Here is a 23652-nt window from a genome sequence, read left to right on the forward strand (position 1 = left end):
GGACGATGGATAAGGCATTCCGTGAGTCCACAGATGGTAGTCTTGGCAGAAGCATTTCATGCAGGATAGGCAAACCCATAACTGGAGTAAGTGTCTATTCCAGTGAGGACAAACCTCTGCCCTTTCCACAATGGAAGAGTCCAATATAATCAACCTGCCACCAGGTAGCTGGCTAATCACTCTGAGAGGTGCTGCCATATAGAAGTTTCAGTGTTGGTCTCTGCTGCTGGCAAATTGGGTACTCAGTGGTGGCTGTAGCCAGGTCAGCCTTGGTGAGTGGAAGTGCATGTTGCTGAGCCCATGTGTAACCTCCATCCCTGCCACCATGGCCACTTTTTCCATGGGCCCATTGGGCTATGGCAGGGGTGGCTGGGGAAAGAGACTGAGTCGTGTCCACAGAACGGGTCATCCTATCCACTTTATTACTAAAATCCTCCGCTGCTGAGGTCACCCGTTAGTGAGTAGCCACATGGGATACAAATATCTTCAACGTTTTTGACCATTCAGAGTGGTCCATTTACATGCCTCTTCCTCAAATTTCTTTGTCACCCATTTTCCAATCATTCTCCTTCCAAGTCCCTGACCATCCAGCCAAACCACTGGCTACGGCCCATGAATCAGTCTATAATCGCACATCTGGCCATCGCTCCTTCCATGCAAAGTGCACAACCAGGTGCACTACTCGAAGTTCTGCCCACTGGGAAGATTTCCCTTCACCACTGTCCTTCAGGGATGTCCTAGAAAGGGGCTGTAGTGCTGCAGTTGTCCACTTTAGGGTAGTGCCTGCATATCATGCAGAACAATGTGTGAAACAGGCCCTAGTCTTTTGTCTTCCTCTGTCAACTGATCATAGGGATCTCCCCATGAGGCCATCGGTGCAGGCTGGGGGAGAGAAGGCAGGGTTACAGGAGTGCAGACCATGGGTATTTGAGCCACTTCCTCATGTAACTTACTTGTGCCTTCAGGACCTGCTCGAACCCGATCACGTGTATACCACTTTCATTTGATGATGGAATGCTGCTGTGCATGGCGCACTTTATATGTAGATGGGCCAGAAAGCACCCAGTTCATGACAGACAGTTCAGGTCCCATGGTGACTTGACGACCCATAGTCAAACATTCAGTTTCCACCAAAGCCCAGTAACAGGCCAAGAGCTGTCTCTCAAAAGGAGAGTAGTTATCTGAAGAAGTTGACAGGGCCTTGCTTTAAAATCCCAGAGGCCTCCGCTGTGATTCACTTATTGGAGCCTGCCAAAGGATCCAAATAGCATCCCTGTCCGCCACTGACACCTCAAGCACCATTTGATCTGCTGGGTCATATGGCCCAAGTGGCAGACCAGCTTGCACAGCAGCCTGGACCTGTTGCAGAGCCTTCTCCTGTTCTGGACCCCACTCAAAACTGCAGCCTGTTGGGTCACTCAGTAAATGGGCCAGAGTAACACACCCAAATGAGGAATATGTTGCCTTCAAAATCCAAATAGATCCACTAGGCACTATGACTTTTTCTTGGTTGTAGGAGGGACAAAATGCAGTAATTTATTCTTCACCTTAGAAGGAATATCTTGACAGGCCCCACACCACTGGACCCCTAGAAATTTCACTGAGGTACAATGTCCCTTAATTTTAGTCGGATTTATTTCCCATCCTCTGGCACGCAAATATCTCACCAATAAGTCCAGTGTGTTTGCTACTTCTTGCTCACTGGATCCAATCAGCATAATGTCATAATGTAATGAACCAGTGTGATATCTTGTGGAAGCAAAAAGCAATCAAGTTGTCTCCAAATAAGATTATGACACAAAGCCAGATAGTTGATATACCCCTGAGGTAAGACAGTAAAGGTATACTGCTGGCCTTGCCAGTTGAAGGTAAATTGCTTCTAGTGGGCTTTGTGAACAGGAATGGAGAAAAAGGCATTTGCCAAGTCAATGGCTGCATACCAGGTACCAGGAGATGTGTTAATATGCTCAAGAAATGAAACCACCTGCTGCATCTGGTACAGCAGCTGCAATTGGAGTCACTACTTGGTTAAGCTTACGATAATCCACTGTCATTCTCCAAGATTCATCTGTCTTCTGCACAGGTGTTCTGTGCAGGAAACGCACAAGGGGAGAAAATCACACACACAGTACCTTTAAGAGTAAACAAGCTGTATCTCACGTAAATGGCAATGCAGATATAATACGCAAATAATATAATAAGCAAATGATATAATAAGCAAATTAATATAGGCAAATTGATATGATAAGCAAATTGCAATGGTCGGGGAGAAGGGAAAAGATACATATATATATACATTTACACTCACCAAACTATGGAGGATTCACCACCAGATTGGGAAGCAACAGCCTGGGCTCCAGGGTCAGACACCGCACTCACCAGACTATGGAGGATTCACCACCAGACTGAGAAGCAACAGCCTGGGCTCCAGAGTTGGACACTCCCATATGCACAGACGAGGTCTCATGAAGCTTCAGCATAGTCTAGGACCCTAGCTCTTTTTGTGACAAGTTGTTTGGTATGAGGCCCAGTCACAAGGGCCCTTGATGACTGGGCTCAAGGAACACAAAAAGGTCAACTTTTTTTTTTATTATTGTCTACTGTTTTGCAATAACTAATATAGGTTTCTTTGAAACAGTGCCGAATGAACACCTCAAGGGGCTCACACCACCTGTTCCGGAAGTTGGTGACCATTGTTTGTGTCCATGTTCAATTGAGTTCAAATTTAATATTTAACTTTTCTTCCACAATAGGCCAAATCGGAGAGCTGAACGGGGATGTGGTGGGAATCACATCCCCTGCATCTTTCAAGTCCTTGATGGTGGCACTAATTTCCACAATCCCTCCAGGGATGAAATATAGTTTTTGATTTACCATTTTGCTAGATAGAGGCAGCTCTAATGGCTTCCATTTGGCCTTTCCCACCATAACAACCCTCATCTTACCAGTCATGGAGCTAATGTGGGGGTTCTATCAGCTGCTAAGTATGTCTATGCCAATTATGCATTCTGGCACTGGGGAAATGACCACAGATGAGCCTGGGGACTCACTGGACCCACTGTAAGTCGGACCTGAGCTAAAACCCCATTAATTGACTGACCTCCATAAGCCCCTACTTTAACTGGAGGACCACAATGACATTATGGGTCCCCTGGAATCAACATCAGCTCAGAGCCAGTGTCCAGTAGTCCCTGAAATGTCTGATCCCTTTCCCCAATGCACAGTTACTCTGGTAAATCGGTAGTGTAGTGGAGCCTTTCCTCAAGGGGTCCTGGCCTTCCCTTCATTCAAGGGGTTCTGGGCGTGTAAACTGGTTCAAGTTGGGAAATTGATTGAGGGGCCGTGATTCTGTTTTTACAATTCAAATTAGTCTTTTGTCCATTCTACCTAGAAGTTTTCTGCTTACATAAATTAAGTAGGAATGCAGTAGGCTTCCTATCAGTTTCACTTCTAGGAACACCATGATTAATTAGCCAATCCCAGAGCTCTACATGAGTCAGACTATTCTGATTACTGTTTTTTCTCTAGTGTCCATTATGATAGCTATGCTTACCTTGCCTTTGATGGTTGAGTGCTGCCACTTTTCCCCTGCCACCTCAGGATCCAATTATTCCCATTGTATTTAAATTTTGTAGTTGAGTGACTGTAGTTCCCTCTGTTAGATCTGAAATATAGAGAGGAGCAATTACAGGTCTCTTCAAAGATACAGGTGCTGTCCTCACAAATCTATTTTGCAAGGCATTGGTTGAGGGTATATTCTCCGGACCCTCCCAACTGGGATGAGTAGGTCAAAAGTAACTAATCCACCCTAGCATTCCAATCTCCCTAAGCCTTTTGATCCCTTCCTCTACATTTAACCAAGGGAGATCAGGCATTTCCAGCTCACTCACAGTGGGCCATATTTTAATACATATTTCAACCAACCAAGCAAATAAACTGTTAGAACCTTTTCTAACTCCTCGAGCTGCAACATTAAATGCAGAGTCCCTACTTAGTGGGCCCATCAATAAATTCAGCCTGATCCAACTCTATGTTTCTTCCACCATTATCCCTCACCCTTAATATCCAACCCCATGACTGTTATCCAGATTTCTGTCTTATTTAAACAGAAAAATAAAGCAGTTCTTTTCTAGTGTATTGCACTACCTCATGGGTCACACTCTCAAACTCACCTCTACAGGCCTGCTGGAACTTTAGTCTAGTTATAGGTCTAGAATCAAACAGTGGTGTTGGAGGTGGCTCCTGAGGAGAATCAGCATTATCTTGCCTGGCAACTGCCTTAGGGAGGCCATCACTGTTGCCTCAGGCAGCACAGGTTTCATCTTCGCAGACAACAGTGGAAAGGCTGATGGCAGCATTTGGGTCAAGGAGGGGATGTTCCCACTACTGGGGATGGGAAAGCTGTTCCTTCTGGCAAAAAAGGTTCATCAGAGTTTACAAATTTAGTGTCCACAGCTTCATCAGGGTTCTCCCACATGTTCCCATTCCAAGTTGCAGAGTCTCGTTCTTTTCTGATCAATGCCCTCACTTTAACAGTAGACACCTGGCAAGGCTGTGCATGCATTTTTCATTGCAGGTTAGCCATTTGCATGATAAGAGTTTGTGTCTATTTTCTACAATTTCAGCTCATTCTCTACAGGAGATAAGACTCTCACTTGGCAATCTTAGCAGATTTGAGGCTCAATATTTGCTTCTGAAGCTGGGAGTTAGAATCCCTGAGTTTATCATTTTCTTTCATCCCTTTGTCCACTGAACTTAGGAGCAATGAACCAGCTTCATTATATTCCTTGGTTCTTCACATATGGTCAAAGTTATTATGTACAGAATCACTGAACTCCTTGCCTCTCACAAGCAGTAAATCAAGAATGTTAAATGCATTTATTTTGCATAAATCTCTAAAAAGTATGCCAAGGACTATCAGTGTTTTCCATACTATTAGAAGCACAGTCCTTAGCATTTTTGGGTCTAACAATATTAAGCAGCCAAATCCAGAAACCCCAAAACCAATGAAAGAACTCCACCCTTAATATTCTGTTCCTGTAGAACCACTCCTGGTACCAAAATTTGTATTAGTCAGGGTTCTCTAGAGGGACAGAACTAATAGGATATATATATATATATATATAAACTGGATCCTGATATATATATATATATATATATCTCCTATTAGTTATGGGTATATAATAGAATATATCTATATAATAGAATATATATGGGAGTTTCTTAGGTGTTAAGTCACATGATCACAAGGTCCCACAATAGGCTATCTGCAAGCTGAGGAGCAAGGAGAGCCAGTCTGAGCCCCAAAACTAAAGAATTTGGAGTCCAATGTTTGAGGCCAGGAAGCATCCAGCATGGAAGAAAAGTGTAGGCTGTGAGGCTAAGCCAGTCTAGTCTTTTCACATGTTCCTGCCTGCTCTATCTTCTAGCTGTGCTGGCAGCTGATTAGATGGTTCCCACTGAGATTAAGGGTGCATCTGTTTTTCCAAGCCCACTGACTCAAATGTTAATCTCCTTTGGCAACACCCTCACAGACACACACAGGATCAATACTTTGCATCCTTCAATCCAATCAAGTTGACGCTCAGTATTAACCATCACAGCTCATTAGCATCTCAAGATATTTCCTAGAAAGTATCAATCCCTGTAGTGACTGGTAATCTAGATCCCTTTATATTAACATTATCAAGCTAAGGTAAGGGCTGAAAGTGTTTCTAATGTAGAGAAAGCATTTAAAAATTAATATCCTCTGTGGAATTATATTAAACATGCATTTTAAATTGGATAAAAATTGCAAAACAACATTGCAAGTTTTAACAGTTTTCATCATTCATATCTATGATAATTAATTTTAAGTGTTGACTTGGCTGCATTGATAAATACTTAGAAACCTGGTAAAGCATTATTTCACGGTATGTCTGTGAGGGTGTTTTCAGAGGAGATTAACCTATGAGTTGAGTAGACTAGGTAAGGAACGTCCACACTCAATGTGAGAGGGCACCATCCAATCTGCTGGGGATCCTGAAATAACACAAGCTGAGAAGTGGTAAATATGTCTATCCATCTTCATCTTCTATCCTTGGGACAACTACATGCTTTCTGGCCTTAGGACTCCAGGATTCACACCAGTGGCCTCATGGGTTCCCAGGCTATTAGCATCAGATTGAGAGTGACACCACCAGCTTTCATGGTTCTGAGGCCTTCAGACTTGAACTAAGCCACACTACAGCATTTCAGGAACTCCAACTTGCAGATGGCCTGTCATGGAATTTCTCTGGCTCCATAATCATATGAGCTAATTTCCCTAATAAAACCTCGCATGTATCTGTCTATCTAATATATCTATTTATTTATATCTATCTGTCTATATCCCATTGGCTCTGCCTTTCTGGAAAGCCCTAACACAGATTTAGGTACTAGAAGTGACTCTAGAGAAACAGAATTTTAAAGATTCATTTTCTTTAATTGGTTTTGGGTATCTGGAACTGGCTCTAATCTGATTAAATTTAAAAATACTAAGGCCTCATTTATAATAGTACAGAATGCAATGATAGCCCATGGTATAAACTGTTTATAGAGATACACAAAATAAATCCATTTCGTACTACTAATTCACCATTTATAAGAGGCACAAAATTAGTGACTCTATACATGATACTTTTTAACATTTGCAGAAAAGAAAGAAATATAATGATAGTTGGTTGCTCCTAGTATCACTGGACAAAGTGATAAAGAAAATCATGAGCTCCTACAAAAAGAACTACAAACCACTTCTTAAAAAAATCAGAGATGACACGAACAAATGGAAAAACATGCCATGCTCATGGTTAGGAAGAATCAATATTGTTAAAATGGCCGTATTGCCCAAAGCAATTCATAAATTCAATTTTTTTTTATTATACTTTAAGTTTTAGGGTACATGTGCACATTGTGCAGGTTAGTTACATATGTATACATGTGCCATGCTGGTGCGCTGCACCCACTAACTCGTCATCTAGCATTAGGTATATCTCCCAATGCTATCCCTCCCCCCTGCCCCCACCCCACAACAGTCCCCAGACTGTGATAGTCCCCTTCCTGTGTCCATGTGATCTCATTGTTCAATTCCCACCTATGAGTGAGAATATGCGGTGTTTGGTTTTTTGTTCTTGCGATAGTTTACTGAGAATGATGATTTCCAATTTCATCCATGTCCCGAAACTCTAAAAAGCAGAGCACCTCTCCTCCTCCAAAGGAACGCAGTTCCTCACCAGCAACGGAACAAAGCTGGATGGAGAATGACTCTGACGAGCTGAGAGAAGAAGGCTTCAGACGATCAAATTACTCTGAGCTATGGGAGGACATTCAAACCAAAGGCAAAGAAGTTGAAAACTTTGAAAAAAATTTAGAAGACTGTATAACTAGAATAACCAATACACAGAAGTGCTTAAAGGAGCTGATGGAGCTGAAAACCAAGGCTCGAGAACTACGTGAAGAATGCAGAAGCCTCAGGAGCCAATGCGATCAACTGGAAGAAAGGGTATCAGTGATGGAAGATGAAATGAATGAAATGAAGTGAGAAGGGAAGTTTAGAGAAAAAAGAATAAAAAGAAATGAGCAAAGCCTCCAAGAAATATGGGACTATGTGAAAAGACCAAATCTACATCTGATTGGTGTACCTGAAAGTGATGGGGAGAATGGAACCAAGTTGGAAAACACTCTGCAGGATAGTATCCAGGAGAACTTCCCCAATCTAGCAAGGCAGGCCAACGTTCAGATTCAGGAAATACAGAGAACGCCACAAAGATACTCCTCGAGAAGAGCAACTCCAAGACACATAATTGTCAGATTCACCAAAGTTGAAATGAAGGAAAAAATGTTAAGGGCAGCCAGAGAGAAAGGTCGGGTTACCCTCAAAGGGAAGCCCATCAGACTAACAGAGGATCTCTTGGCAGAAACCCTACAAGCCAGAAGAGAGTGGGGGCCAATATTCAACATTCTTAAAGAAAAAAATTTTCAACCGAGAATTTCATATCCAGCCAAACTAAGCTTCATAAGCGAAAGAGAAATAAAATCCTTTACAGACAAGCAAATGCTGAGAGATTTTGTCACCACCAGGCCTGCCCTAAAAGAGCTCCTGAAGGAAGCACTAAATATGGAAAGGAACAACCGGTACCAGCCGCTGCAAAATCATGCCAAAATGTAAAGACCATCGAGACTAGGAAGAAACTGCATCAACTAACGAGCAAAATAACCAGCTAACATCATAATGACAGGATCAAATTCACACATAACAATATTAACTTTAAATGTAAATGGACTAAATGCTCCAATTAAAAGACACAGACTGGCAAATTGGATAAAGAGTCAAGACCCATCAGTGTGCTGTATTCAGGAAACCCATCTCATGTGCAGAGACACACATAGGCTCAAAATAAAAGGATGGAGGAAGATCTACCAAGCAAATGGAAAACAAAAAAAGGCAAGGGTTGCAATCCTAGTCTCTGATAAAACAGACTTTAATCCAACAAAGATCAAAAGAGACAAAGAAGGCCATTACATAATGGTAAAGGGATCAATTCAACAAGAAGAGCTAACTATCCTAAATATATACACCCAATACAGGAGCACCCAGATTCATAAAGCAAGTCCTGAGTGACCTATAAAGAGACTTAGACTCCCACACATTAATAATGGGAGACTTTAACACCCCACTGTCAACATTAGACAGATCAACGAGACAGAAAGTCAACAAGGATACCCAGGAATTGAACTCAGCTCTGCACCAAGCAGACCTAATAGACATCTACAGAACTCTCCACCCCAAATCAACAGAATATACATTTTTTCAGCACCATACCACACCTATTCCAAAATTGACCACATACTTGGAAGTAAAGCTCTCCTCAGCAAATGTAAAAGAACAGAAATTATAACAAACTATCTCTCAGACCACAGTGCAATCAAACTAGAAGTCAGGATTAAGAATCTCACTCAAAACCACTCAACTACATGGAATTCAATGTTATTCCCATTAAATTACCACTGACATTCTTCACAGAACTAGAGAAAACTATTTTAAAATTCATATGGAACCAAAAAAAAAAAAAAAAAAAGCCCAAATAGCCAAGGCAATCCTAGGAGCCACCAACCAACATCGTAGTATGCCTTTGTTTTCTGCAAAAAGAACAAAGCTGAAGGTGTCACACTACCCAACTTCAAACTATGCTACAGGGCTACAATGAACAAAACAGCATAGTACTTGAACAAGAACAGACACATAGACCAATGGAACAGAACAGAGGACCCAGAAATAAGACTGCAGACCTACAACTATCTGATCTTTCACAAACCCAACAAAAACAAGCAATGGGGAATTTTTTTTCTATTTAATAAATGGTGCTGGAATAACTGGCTAGCCATATAAAGAAAATTGAAACTGGACCCCTTCTTTACACCATGTACAATAATTAACTCAAGAAGGATTAAAGACTTAAATGTAAAACTCAGAACTATAAAAACCCTGGAAGACAACCTAGGCAATATCATTTAGGACACAGGCATGGGCAAAAATTTCATGATTAAAGATGCCAAAAGCAATTGCAACAGAAGCAAAAATTGACAAATTGGATCTAGTGAAACTAAAGAGCTTCTGCACAGCAAAAGAAACTACCATCAGAGTAAACAGACAACCTACAGAATGGGAAAAAATTTTGCACACTATGCATCTGACTAAGGTCTAATAAGGAACTTAAACAAATGTACAAGCTAAAAACAAACAACCCCATTAAAAGGTGGGCAATAATATGAAAAGACAGTTTTCAAAAGAAGACATATATGTGGCCAATAAGCATATGAAAAAAAGCTCAACATCACTGATGATTAGAGAAATGCAAATCAGAACCGCAATGAGATACCATCAGAATGGCTATTACTAAAAGTCAAAAATAACAGATGTTGTCAAAGTTATGGAGAAAAAGGAATGCTTATACACCATTGTGGAAGACAATGTGGTGATTCCTCAGGGACCTAAAATCAGAAATACCAATAGACCCGGCAGTCCCATTACTGGATATATACCCAAAGGAGTATATAAATCGTTCTATTATAAAGACACTTGCATGCGTTTGTTCATTGCAGCACTATTCACAAAAGCAAAGACATGAAATCAATCCAAATGCCCAACAATGACAGACTGGATAAAGAAAACATGATACATATAAACCATGGAATAATATGCAGCCATAAAGGAACAAAATCATGTCCTTTGCATGGATGGAGCTAGAGGTCATTATCCTTAGCAAACTAACACTGGAACAGAAAACTAGATACCGCATGTTCTCACTTATAAGTGGGAGCTAAATGATGAGAATACATGGATGCATAGAGGGGAAAAACACAAACTGGGGCCTATTAGAGGGTGGACGGCGGGAGGAGGGAGAGGATCAGAAAAAATAACTAATGGATACTAGGCTTAATACCTGTGTGATAAAAAAATTGGTACGGCAAATCCCCATGATATACATTTATCTATGTAACAAACCTGCACATCCTTCACATGTACCCTGAACTTAAAAGTAAAAAAGAAAAGAATAAGCTCAAAAAATCTATGTAAATGATCTAAGAGTCTCTAAGTGTGCTCTGGTAAGAATCTTCTCTCCTATAGCCACAGGCTAAAATTGCTGAAAACTGAACACCAGCCCTCATTATCCCATTGGGTGAATTACAAGAAAAGTTGAACCCTCACCCTTGTAGAATATCTACTGTTAAAGTGAGGATATGAATTGGGGAAAAAAAATTCCTGAAAGTTAAGATAGGAATGTGTGGAAACACTTGATAAAGCTAGGGACATTGACCATGTATATTGTGATGAGTCTTGTTTGCCAGAAGTAACCTCCTCATTCCCACCCGCTTGAGCATTCCCACCCACAGTTGTGTATGCCTCTCTACTTTTGTCTCAGGGGATTAATTCTGCATTGCCTAAGAAAATGGTAATGACCTCCGGGGCATTTGCCAAGCAAGATGATGATTCTTCTTGGGACCAATTCCCACCACCCCGCTTTGCTTTTAGACCTATAAACTAGTCTCAAGTCATAACTGGCTCCTAAAGATGATAAAAAAGTGTAACGCATGAGGGGGTATACTACATCCCAAAGAACTACTTGATTTTTTTAATTTTATACAAGCAGAAATCCAGATAACGTGGGGGAATGCATATTAGGAGTGTGGAATTATTGTGGAAGAAACATAAAGTTAGATCAGGCTTATATGGATTCACTAAGCAGATATTCTCCATTTAATGTTACAGCTCAGGGAGTTAGAAAAAGCACTAAAAGTTTCTCTAGTTCATTGGCTGAAACAGGTATCAAAATATGGCCCATGGTAAGCATGTTGGAGATGCCCCATCTCCCTTGACTTACCATAGAGGAAGGAATTCAAAGCCGTAGGGATATTGGAATACTAGAGTAAATTTGTCATGTAAAATCTACTCACCTATGCCAGGAAAGTTCAGAAGATATACCTTTCACCAATACCTTGTGAAATAGATTTGTGAGGGGATCTCCAGTACCCCTGAAGTGCTCCATGGTTGCACTTCCTTGTAAACTGGACCTTACCATGGGATCCTCAGTCAATTATTTAAAAAACTTAAATGTAATAGGAATAATTAGATCTTGGGGTGGTAGAGGCCATGTTGTGGTACTCAGCTCTCAAAGGTAAGGTGTGCATAGTTACCATAATAGACAGCAAAGGCAAAGCAACAAACAGAATCGTCTGATTTTCATGGATCTATGGCATCGGCTAGTTAAACATGGTGTTCCTAGAAGTGGACAGATAGAAAACTGCTGAATTTTTACTTTATATAAGTAGAAAACTTTCAAGTCAAGTAAATAAAAGTTTAACCCAAGTAATAGAAACAGAGAACAATGGGTCCTAAATCAATTCCCAGACTTGAGCCAGTTTACAGACCTAGAAAACCTTGAATGAAAGGGAGACCAGATCTCCTCCAGGAGGAACACCAGTACACTACTAAAAATCTGTACCACTTATTTTTATCCCATTTTTTCTTCAAAGGGACCTATGGTGTTTTACCTGGGTAACTGCAGTGGAGAAAGAGAAATAATAATACTTTTCAGGGACTAGTGAACACTGGCTCTGAAGTGACACTGATTACATGAGATCCAAACATCACTGTGACCCTCCAGTTAGAGTAGGGCTTCACGGAGGTTAGGTGATTAATGCAGTTTTAGCTCAGATTCCACTCACAGTGGGTCCGGTGGGTTTCTGAATTCATTCTGTGATCATTTCCTCAGTTCCAGAATGCATAACTGGAATATACATATTTAGCAGCTGGCAGAATCTCCACGCTGATTTTTTAACCTGTGTAGTGAGGACTATTAAGTGGAAATGGCCAAATGTAAACCACTAGAACTGGTTCTATCTAGGAAAATAGCACAGCAAAAACAATACTGCAGTCCTGGAGGTAATGCAGAGATTGATGCCACCATCAAGGACTTCAATGATGCAGGGGTGGTGATTCCCACCACATCTCCATTCAACTCTCCTTTTTGGCCTGTGTAGAAGAAAGATGAATCCTGGAGAAGGACAGTGTGTTACTGTAAGCTTAACCAAGTGGGGTGACTCCAATTGCAGCTGCTGTACCAGATGTGGTTTCATTTCTTGAGCAAATTAACACATCTTCTGGTACTTGGTATGTAGCTAGTGATCTGGCAAAAACCTTTTTATTGATCCCTGCCCATAAGATCCACCAGAAGTAGTTTGCTTTCAGCTGTCAAGGCCAGCAATATGCCTTAATTGTCCTACCTTATCTCCAGCCCTGTGTCACAGTTTAGTTTGTAGATATCTTGATTGCCTTTTTCCCCTGACAATATATCACACTGGTGTGTTATATTGATGACATTTTGCTGACTGGACCTAGTGAACATGAAGTAGAAGCCACTCTGAATTTATTGCTAAAACATTTGCATGTGAATGGAAAATAAATCTAACTAAAATTCAGGGGGCTTCTACCTTAGTGAAACTTCTAAGGGTCCAATGGTGTGGTAATATCCTTTCTAAAGAGAAGGATAAGTTGTTACATCTGGCCCCTCCTACAACCAAGAAAGAGGCACAACATCTAGTGGGCCTATCTAGATTTTGGACAAATCATATTCCTCATGTGAGTATATTACTCTGTGCCATCTACTGAGACACCTGAAAAGCTGCTAGTTTTGAGTGGGACTTAGAACATAGTGCTCTGCAACAGGTCCAGGCTGCTGTGCAAGCTGTGCTGCCACTCGGGCCTTAGGATTCAACAGATCCAATGGTACTTGAGGTGTCTATGGCAGATATAAATGCTGTTTGGAGTCTTTGGCAAGCCTTTACAGGTGAATCACAGTAAAGGCCCCTGAGATTTTTGAGCAAGACCCTGTCATTATCTGAAGATAAATACTATCATTTTGAGAGACAGCTTTTGGCCTGTTACTTGGCCTTAGTAGACACTGAATGTTTGGCTATGGACCACCAAGTTACCATGAGACCTGAGTTTCCCATCCTGAACTGTGTGTTACTTTACCCACCAAATCATAGAGTTGGTTGGGCACAGCAGTATTCCATCATCAAATGGAAGTCGTATATACGTGATCAGGCCCCAGCAGATCATGAAGACACAATTAAGGTATATGAAGAATTGGCCCCAAAAACCCATGGTTCCTTCTCCTGCTATACCACCTTCTCTCTCTCAGCCTGCACCGATGGCCTCATGGGAAGTACCCTATAATCAACTGACACAGGAAGAAAGGACTAGGGCCTGGTTAGAGATGGTTCTACATGATATGTAGGCACCACCCAAAAGTGGAGAGCTGTAGCAGCATAGTCACTTTCTGCGACAACCTGGAATGGCAATGGTAAAGGGAAATCTTCTCAGTGGGCAGTAATTTAGGTAATGCACCTGAATGTGCACTTTGCTTGAAAGTAGAAATGCCAAATGTGTGGTTATATACTAATTCACGGGCTGTAGCCAATGATTTGGCCAAATGGTCAAAGACTTGGAAAGAACATGATTGAAAAACTGGTGACAAAGAATTTGGAAAAGAGATATGTGAATAAAACTCTGAGCAGGCAAAGTATATGAAGATATTTTTGTCCCATGTGAATGCACACCAAAGAATGACCTCAGCAGAGGAGGACTTTGATAATCAGGTGGATAGAATGACCTACTCTGTAGATACTAGTCAACCCCTTTCCTCAGCCACCCCATCATTGCTCAGTGGGTTCATGAACAAAGTGGCAATGGTGTGATGGTAGAGATTATGCAGGGACTCAGCAACATGGACTTCCACTCACAAAAGCCAGCCTGGCTATGGCCACTGCTGGGTGCCCAATCTGACGGCAGCAGAGATCAACATCTTAGATGATCATTTCCTGGGATAATCAGCAAGCTACCTGGTGGCAGGCTGATTATATTGGACCACTTCAATAATATAAGGAACTGTGTTTGGTCTTTAAAGGAATAGACACTAGATATGGATTTGCTTTCCCTGCACACAATGCTTCTGCCAAAACTACCATATGTGGACTCATAGGATGTCTTATTTACCATCATGGTGTTCCACACAGCATTGCTTCTGACAAAGGAACTCACTCCATAGCCAAAGGAGTATGGCAGTGGAGTCATGCTCATGGAATTCACTGGTATTTCCATACTCCTCATCATCCTGAAAAAGCTGGTTTAATTGAATGGTGGAAGAGTCCTTTGAATTCAAAATTACAGCACCAGCTAAGTGACAATACCTTGCAGAGCTGGGGAAAGGTTCTCCAGAAGGCTGTATATGCTCTAAATCAGTGCCCAATATATGCTACTATTCCTCCCATGGCCAGGATTCATGGATCCAGAAATTAAGAGGTGAAAATGGGAGTGGCATCACTCACTATTTATTATCCCTAGTGACCTGCTAGCAAAACTTTTGCTTCCTGTTCCTGTGACTTTATACTCTTCTGGCTCTAGACATCTTAATTCCAAAGGGAAGAATGCTTCCTCTATGAGACACAACAGTAATTCAATTGAACTGCTCGTTAAAGCTGCTGCTCAGCCTCTTTGGGCTTCTCATGCTTCTGAGATAATAGGATAAGAAGGGAGTTACACAGTTTGCTGGGGTGATTGATCCAGACTACCAAGGGCAAATTGAACTACTACTTCACAATGGAGTTAAGGAGATGTCTGGAATATGGAAGATCCCTTAGGGCATCTCTTAGTACTACTATGGCCTGTAATAAAGGTCAATAGAAAATCACAACAACCCAATTTAGGCAAGATTACTAATGGCCAGACTTCAGGAATAAAGATTTGGGTCACTTCACTAGATAAAGGACCACCACCAGCTAAGGTACTTCCTGAAGGCAAAGCGGGTACTAAATATATAGTAGAAGAAAGTAGTTACAAACACCAGCTAGGGCCATGTAACCAGTTACAGAAATGAAGACTAATTGTTATAAGAATTTATTTCCTAATGTGTTAAGAATATGTCTGTGTATATATATATACACATATTATGTATTATCTTTGTTTTCACTCTTATCTATCATGTAATATAAGATTGACTGAATTTATATCAGTATATAAGTATTGTTAATTGTACATAATAGTATTCAAGTCATAGTGTATAAGGAGAAGAATAAACATCACCAAAAAAACTTTACCTTTTCTTCTGGGAAAAGGACTAATGCATTTTACTTGCATGTAGAATAGGTGTATCATGTTAAGTGGAATTATTACCTTGTTATTGTGTTACTTGGAGATTAAGTATGGTTTAAGGAGATGTATATGGGTGCCAAGTTGACGGTGAGTGGGCTTGTGATAGTTAATTTTAGATGTCAACTTGACTGGACTGAGGAATACCTAATAACCTGATAAAACATTATATTTAGGCGTGTCTTTGAGGGTGTTTCCAGAGATAAGCCTGTGAGTCTGAGAGGACTAGGTGGGGAAGATCCACCATCAATGTGGGAAGGCATCATCCAATGTGTTGGTGGGCCAGAGATAACTACAACAGAGAAAAGGTGAATATGTCAATCTATTTGCTGAAGCTGGGATACTGTTCCTTTCCAGGCTCCCAGGCCTTTGGACTCCAGGACTTATTCCAGTGCCCCTCTGTGATCTCAGGCTTTCGGCCTTGGACTGAGAATTGCACCGTCAGTTTTCCTGGTTCTGAGATCTTCAGACTTGGACTGAGTTACACTACCAGCACCCCAGGGTCTCCAGCTTGCAAATGGCCTTTCATGAAACTTAGTATCCATAACCATGTGAGCCAATTTTCCTAATAAATTATCTCTCAATTTTTATATATATATATATATTTGTGTGTGTATACATATATATGTACACATACACACATACACGTATCATGGATGACATGGCCCATAAATAAGGTCAATGGAAAATTACAACAACCCAATAAAGACAAGACTATGAATGGTCCAGACTCTTCAGGAAGGAATAATACAAGAGACAGAATGAATATTCGATTAGTTCTGTGTCTCTGGAGAACCTTGAATAATATAAGAATATTTTTCTTCTAGAGATGAGTAAGGGCTGCTGGCATTCTCTTAGTAATGACTGGTTATTCACAGAGGACATGATTGTGTACAGAGAAAATTCAAAGAGATCTATAAAAACTACTAGATCTAACAGGCAAATTTAGCAAGGTCCCAGAATACAGTTAACATACAAAAAATCATTTATGTTTCTATAAACTAAAAAACAAATTGGAGAAAGAAATGATAAAAGACAATACCATACAGTTTGGCAGTAACTAATAAATTTTAAAATACATTTACCATATAAGCCAGCAGTCTCATTTTAGGTCATTACCCAAGTGAATTGAAAGCATACATTCACATAAAAACCTGTACATGAATGATTATAGTAGTTTTATTTATAATTGCCAAAAACTCGACAAATTCCAGATGTTTTTCAAGAGATGAATAGATAAGCAAAATTTAGTATATATGTATGATGGGCTAATATTTAGATTGACTCATACAACGTGATAAATCTTAAATGCTTTTGCTATAAAGCTAAATAAAAAGGCTAAACACTGTATGATTTCATTCAAATGACATTCTGAAAAAGACAAACCTATAGTGAAAAAGGAAACAGACCATTGGTAGACAAGGATTGGGCAGGGGTGTCTGAATGTCGAGGAGACAAATGTCAAGGAGAATTATTAGGATGATGGAACTCTACTATATCATATTGTGGTAGAAGATATATAAATCTATTCATCAAAACCCCTAGAACTGAACACAGCAGAAAGCAAAAATTGTAGGTTAAAAACAAATAAACAAAAGCAATCAGGATTTTGAAGGATCTTAGAATGACACACAGACTGTAATAAGTGAATCTAAATGTACTACAAATGTATAACTTTACCACATTTAAGGGAGAATAAGGAAGCTGGCCTAAATACTTTTTAAAGACTTGTTTTACCGATACTGTAAAGCTGAAGATAAAAGAATTATACACAAATGCTGTACTCTCTCACTGGTTAAATTTATTTTTCAGAAGGGTAAGTTTTACCAATTTTGAAAAAGTTAACATACATACAAATATGCAAGTAAATATGTTATAGTTAATGATAACCAGATTTCTTAATGTCAGAAAAAGAAGTTACACATTGATGCGATTTGGCTGTGTCCCCACCCAAATCTCATTTTGAATTGTAGTTGCCACAATCCCCTCATGTCATGGGAGGCACCAGGTGGAGATAATTGAATCATGGATGCAGTTTCCCCAATCCTGTTCTCATGAAAATGAGTTAGTTCTCATGAGATCTGATGGTTTTATAATGGGCATTCCCTTTCACTAGGCAGTCATTCTTCTCCTTCTTGCCGCCATGTGAAGAAGGACATCTTTGCTTCCCCTTCCATCATGACTGTAAGTTTCCTGACCCTGCCTCAGCCCTGTGGAACTTGAGTCAATTAAACCTCTTTCCTTTATAAATTACCAGTATCGAATTTGTCTTTATAGCAGTGTGAGAACTGACTAATACACACATAGGCAAGAGAGAAATGTTAGAATACAACAGGTAGTGTTGAATTAGAGTTGGAAACATTAGTTTGAACTCATGACTATTTTAGTATACCAAAATAAACACAAAACTAAATATAAAGATGGGCGTTATTGAAGGCTCAATAAAGCTCCCTCCTCAAAAAGATGTCCATGTCCTAATCCAGCTCCCTCCTCAAAAAGATGTCCATGTCCTAATCCAGCTCCCTCCTCAAAAAGATGTCCATGTCCTAATCCAAGGACCTTGTGAAAAGGTTATCTTAGATGGCTAAAAGAATGTGATTAAGGATGTTGAGATGGAGAAATCATCCTGGATTAACCACTTGAGTCCAACGTAATCTCAAGGGCCCTTATAAGAGGGAGGCATGTGGGTCATAATTCCAGGAGGCGATGTGAAGAGAGAAGCAAAGATCAGAGAGATGCAGGGCATACTATGAGCTCAGAAATGTGTGCAGACTCTAGCTGCTGGAAAAGGCAAGGAAAAGGATGCTTTCATAGCGTCTCCAAAAGGAACTCACACTATTTTGCATTTCTGACCTCCAAACATGTAAGATAACAAATTTTCATTGATTTAAGGCACAAAGTTTGTGCTGATACAGCAACAATAGGAAACTAATATAGATGTATACATGGATTAGAATGCATGCATGTATGGCTGGGCATGGTGGCTCATGCCTGTAATCCCAGCACTTTGGGAGGCCGAGGCAGGTGGATTGCCTGAGCTCAGGAGTTCAAGAACAGCCTGGGCAACACAGTGAAACCCATCTCTACTAAAATACAAAAAATTAGCCAGGAATGGTGGTGTGCGCCTGCAGTTCCAGCTACTTGGGGGGCTGAGGCAGGAGAACTGCTTGAACACAGGAGGCAGAGGTTGCAGTGAGCCGATATCATGCCACTGCACTCCAGCCTGGGCAACAGAGCAAGACTCTGTCTCAAAAAAAAAAAAAAAAAAAAGAATGCATGCATGTATTCCATAGCTCTTTCCTGTTGGAGAGCAAAAAGTAATCACATCCAGTAGAAACAGGCACATCTAACAACCAGATCAGGCTTCTAGATACCACTTTATAATAAAATGACCCAGGATGACTTGACAAAATTGTTGATTCTAGGGATAGGGCAAGGAAATTACAAGATGGTCCTGAAGCCTCTGTCATGCCACATAATAAGGAAGTACTAGAAAAGAAAGATTACAGAAAGAGTAAAGAAAAGAATTAAAGACTATAAAGATGCAGTTACCAAGGCAGCTGGCAAGATGGCCGAATAAGAACATCTCCAGTCTGCAGGTCTCAGCCAGATCAGTGCAGAAGGCAGGTGATTTCTGCATTTCCAACTGAGTACATGACTCATCTCATTGGGACTGGTTAGACAGTGGGTGCAGCCCACGGAGGGCGAGCCGAGGCAGGGTGGTGCAATGCCTCACCCAGGAAGTGCAAGGGGTCAGGGAACTCCCTCCCCTGGCCAAAGGAAATCATGAGGCACCGTGCCATGAGGAGTGGTGCATTCTGGTCCAGATACTACACTTTTCCCACGGCCTTCGCAACCTGAAGACCAGGAGATTCCCTCGGATGCCTACACCACCAGGGCCCTGGGTTTCAAGCACAAAACTGGGCAGCTGTTTGGGCAGATACCAAGCTAGCTGCAGGAGTTATTTTTCATACCCCAGTGGTGCCTGGAACGCCAGTGAGACAGAACCGTTCACTCTCCTGGAAAGGGGACTGAAGACAGGGAACCAAGTGGTCTAGCTCAGTGGATCCAAACCTCCACGAAGCCCAGCAAGCTAGGACGCACTGGTTTGAAATTCTCGCTGCCAGCACAGCAGTCTGAAGTCAACCTGGGACTCTAGAACTTGGTGGGGGGAGGGGCGTCCACCATTACTGAGGCTTGCGTAGGCAGTTTTTCCCTCTCACTGTAAACAAAGCCTCCAGGAAGTTTGAACTGGGCAGAGCCCACCATAGCTCAGCAAAGCCACTGCGGCCAGACTGCCTCTCTAGATTCCTCCTCTCTGGGCAGGGCATCTCTGAAAAAAAGGCAGGAGCCACAGTCAGGGGCTTCTAGACAAAACTCCCATCTCCCTGGGACAGAGCACCTGGGGGAAGGGGCGGCTGTGTGTGCAGCTTCAGCAGAAATAAACATTCCTGCCTGCTGGCTCTGAAGAGAGCAGATCTCCCACCACAGCGCTCGAGCTCTGCTAAGGGACACACTGCCTCTGCAAGTGGGTCCCTGACCCCTGTGCCTCCAGACTGGGAGACACCTTGCAGCAGGGGTCGACAGACACCTCAAACAAGAGAGCTCCAACTGGCATCTGGCGGGTGCCCCACTGGAAGGAAGCTTCCAGAGGAAGGAACAGGCAGCAATCTTTGCTGTTATGCAGCCTCCACTGGTGATACCCAGGCACACAGGATCTGCAGCGGACCCGGAGAATACTCCATCAGACCTGCAGAAGAGGGGTCTGACTGTTAGAAGAAAAACTAACAAACAGAAAGGAATAGCAATAACATCAAGAAAAAGAACGTCCACATACAAAAAAAAAAAAAAAAAAACAACTGAAGGTCACCAAAATCAAAGACCACAGGTAGATAAATTCACAAAGATGAGGAAAACCAGCGAAAAAAAGGCTGAAACTACCAAACACCAGAATGCCTCTTCTCCTCCAAAGGATCACAACTCCTTGCTAGCAAGACAACAAAACTGAACAGGGAATGAGTTTGACAAATTGACAGAATTTAGGCTTCAGAAGGTGGGTAATAACAAACTCCTCCAAGCTAAAGAAGCATGTTTTAACCCAATGCAAGGAAGCTAAGAACCTTGAAAAAAGGTTAGAGGAGTTGCTAACTAGAATAACCAGTTTAAAGAAGAACATAAATGACCTGATGGAGCTGAAAAACACAGCACAATAACTTCTTTCATACACAAGTATCAATAGCCAAATCAATCAAGTGGAAGAAAGGACATCAGAGATTGAAGATCAGCTTAATACAATAAAGCATGAAGACAAGATTAGAGAAAAACGAATGAAAAGGAACGAACAGAGCCTCCAAGAAATATGGGACTATATGAACAGACCAAACCTACATTCGATAGGTGTACATGAAAGTGATAGGGAGATTGGAACCAAATTGGAAAACACTCTTCAGAATATTATCCAGGAGAACTTCCCCAAACTAGCAAGACAGGCCAACATTCAAATTCAGAAAATACAGAGACCACCACAAAGATATACCATGAGAAGAGTAACCCCAAGCCACATAATTGTCAGATTCACCAAGGTTGAAGTGAAGGAAAAAATGTTAAGGGCAGCCAAAGAGAAAAGTCAGATTACCCACAAAGAGAAGCCCATCAGACTAACAGCGGATATCTCTGCAGAAATCCTACAAGTCAGAAGAGAGTGGGGGCCAATATTCAACATTCTTAAAGAAAATAATGTTCAACCCAGAATTTCATATCCAGCCTAACTAAGCTTCATAAGCGAAAAAGAAATAAAATCCTTTCCAGACAAGCAAATGCTGAGAGATTTTGTCATCACCAGGCCTGCCTTACAAGAGCTCCTGAAGGAAGCACTAGATATGAAAGGATAAACCAGTACCAGCCACTGCAAAAACACACCAAATTGTAAAGACCATCTACACTATGAAGAAACTGCAACAACTAACGGGCAAAATTACCAGCTAGCATCATAATGACAGGATCAAATTCACACATAACAATATTAACTTAAATGTAAACTGGCCAATTAAAAGACACAGGCTGGCAAATTGGATAAAGGGTCAAGACCCATTGGTGTGCTGTATTCAGTAGACCCATCTCACATGCAAAGACGCACATAGGCTCAACATAAAGGAATGGAGGAATATTTCCCAAGAAAATGGAAAGCAAAAAAAAGCAGGGGTTGCAATGATAGTCTCTGATAAAACAGACTTTAAACCAATAAAATTCAAAAAGACAAAGAATGGCAACACATAATGGTAAAGGGATCAATGCAACAAGAAGAGCAAACTATCCTAAATATATATGCACCCAATACGGGAGCACCCAGATTCATAAAGCAACCTTGAAAAAGGTTAGAGGAATTGCTAACTAGAATAACCAGTTTAAAGAAGAACATAAATGACCTGATGGAGCTGAAAAACACAGCACGAGAACTTCGTTCATACACAAATATCAATAGCCAGAATAATAAAGAAGAAAAGAGAGAAGAATCAAATAGACACAATAAAAAAATAATAAAGGGGATATCATCACTGATCCCACAGAAATACAAACTACCATCAGAGAATACTATAAACTTAGAGACTGAGACTCCCACACAGTAATAGTGGGAGGCTTTAACACCCCACTGTCAACATTAGATCAAAGAGACAAAAGGTTAATAAGGATATTCAGGACTTGAACTCAGCTCTGGACCAGGTGGACCTAATAGACATCTACAGAACTCTATGCCCCAAATCAAGAGAATACACATTCTTCTCAGAAACGTATCACACTTATTCTAAAATTGACCACACCATTGGAACTAAAACATTCCTCACCACACACAAAAGAACAGAAATCATAACAGTCTCTCAGACCACAGTACAATCAAATTAGAACTCAGGATTAAGAAACTCACACAAAACCACACAACTACATGGAAACTGAACAATCTGCTCCTGAATGATTACTGGGTAAAATACAAAATTAAAGCACAAATAAATAATTTCTTTGAAACCAATGAGAACAAGACACAACATACCAGAATCTCTGGGACACAGCTAAAGCAGTGTTTACAGGGAAATTTACAGCACTAAATGCCCACAGGTGAAAGTCGGAAAGATTGAAAATCGACACTATAACATCACAATTAAAAAGGCTAGAGAAGTAAGAGCAAACAAATTCAAAAGCTAGCAGAAAACAAGAAATAACTAATATCAGACCGGAACTGAAAGAGATAGAGATACGAAAACCCCTTCAAAAAATCAATGAATCCAAGAGCTGGTGTTTTGAAAAGATTATCAAAAAAGATAGACTGCTAGCCAGACTAATAAAGAAGAAAAGAGAGAAGAATCAAATAGACACCATAAAAAATAATAAAGGGGATATCATCACTGATCCCACAGAAATACAAGCTACCATCAGAGAATACTATAAACACCTCTATGCAAATAAACTAGAAAATCTAGAATAAATGGATAAATACCTGTACATATACACCCTGCCAAGAACAAACCAGGAAGAAGTCGAATCCCTGAACAGAAGAGTAACAATTTCTGAAACTGAGGCAGTAATCAATAGCCTACAAAAAAAAAAAAAAAAAAAAACCCAGGACCAGATGGATTCACAGCCAAATTCTACCAAAGAGGAGCTGGTACCTTTACTTCTGAAACTATTCCAAACAATAGAGAAAGAGGGACTCCTCCTTAACTCATTTTATGAGGCTAGCATCATCCTGATACCGAAACCTGGAAGAGACACAGCAAAAAAAGACAATTTCAGGCCAATATCTCTGATGAACATCAACGCGAAAATCCTCAATGAAATACTGGCAAACCGAATCCAGCAGCACATCAAAAAACTTATCCACCATGATCAAGTCGGCTTCATCCCTGGGATGCAAGGCTGGTTCAACATATGCA

At 40.9% G+C, this 23652-nt stretch overlaps 1 long non-coding RNA gene across 1 annotated transcript in view, besides 1 other annotated feature; it reads left to right on the forward strand.

Moving 5' to 3' along the window:
- SPIN4-AS1 (SPIN4 antisense RNA 1) overlaps positions 1-23652 on the forward strand; it is a 68502-nt gene that overhangs the window by 27757 nt on the left and 17093 nt on the right. The window lies entirely within an intron of this gene.
- Positions 19664-20164: an enhancer, noted in NCBI's record as "H3K4me1 hESC enhancer chrX:62550986-62551486 (GRCh37/hg19 assembly coordinates)". NCBI's record gives its function as "activates a minimal SCP1, AML or CMV promoter by ChIP-STARR-seq in primed H9 embryonic stem cells {active_cell/tissue: H9 hESC(primed)}" and the evidence as "EXISTENCE:reporter gene assay evidence [ECO:0000049][PMID:30033119]".

This window comes from Homo sapiens, chromosome X (genome assembly GCF_000001405.40).
Source record: "Homo sapiens chromosome X, GRCh38.p14 Primary Assembly".
In the NCBI taxonomy this organism is placed as follows: domain Eukaryota; kingdom Metazoa; phylum Chordata; class Mammalia; order Primates; family Hominidae; genus Homo; species Homo sapiens.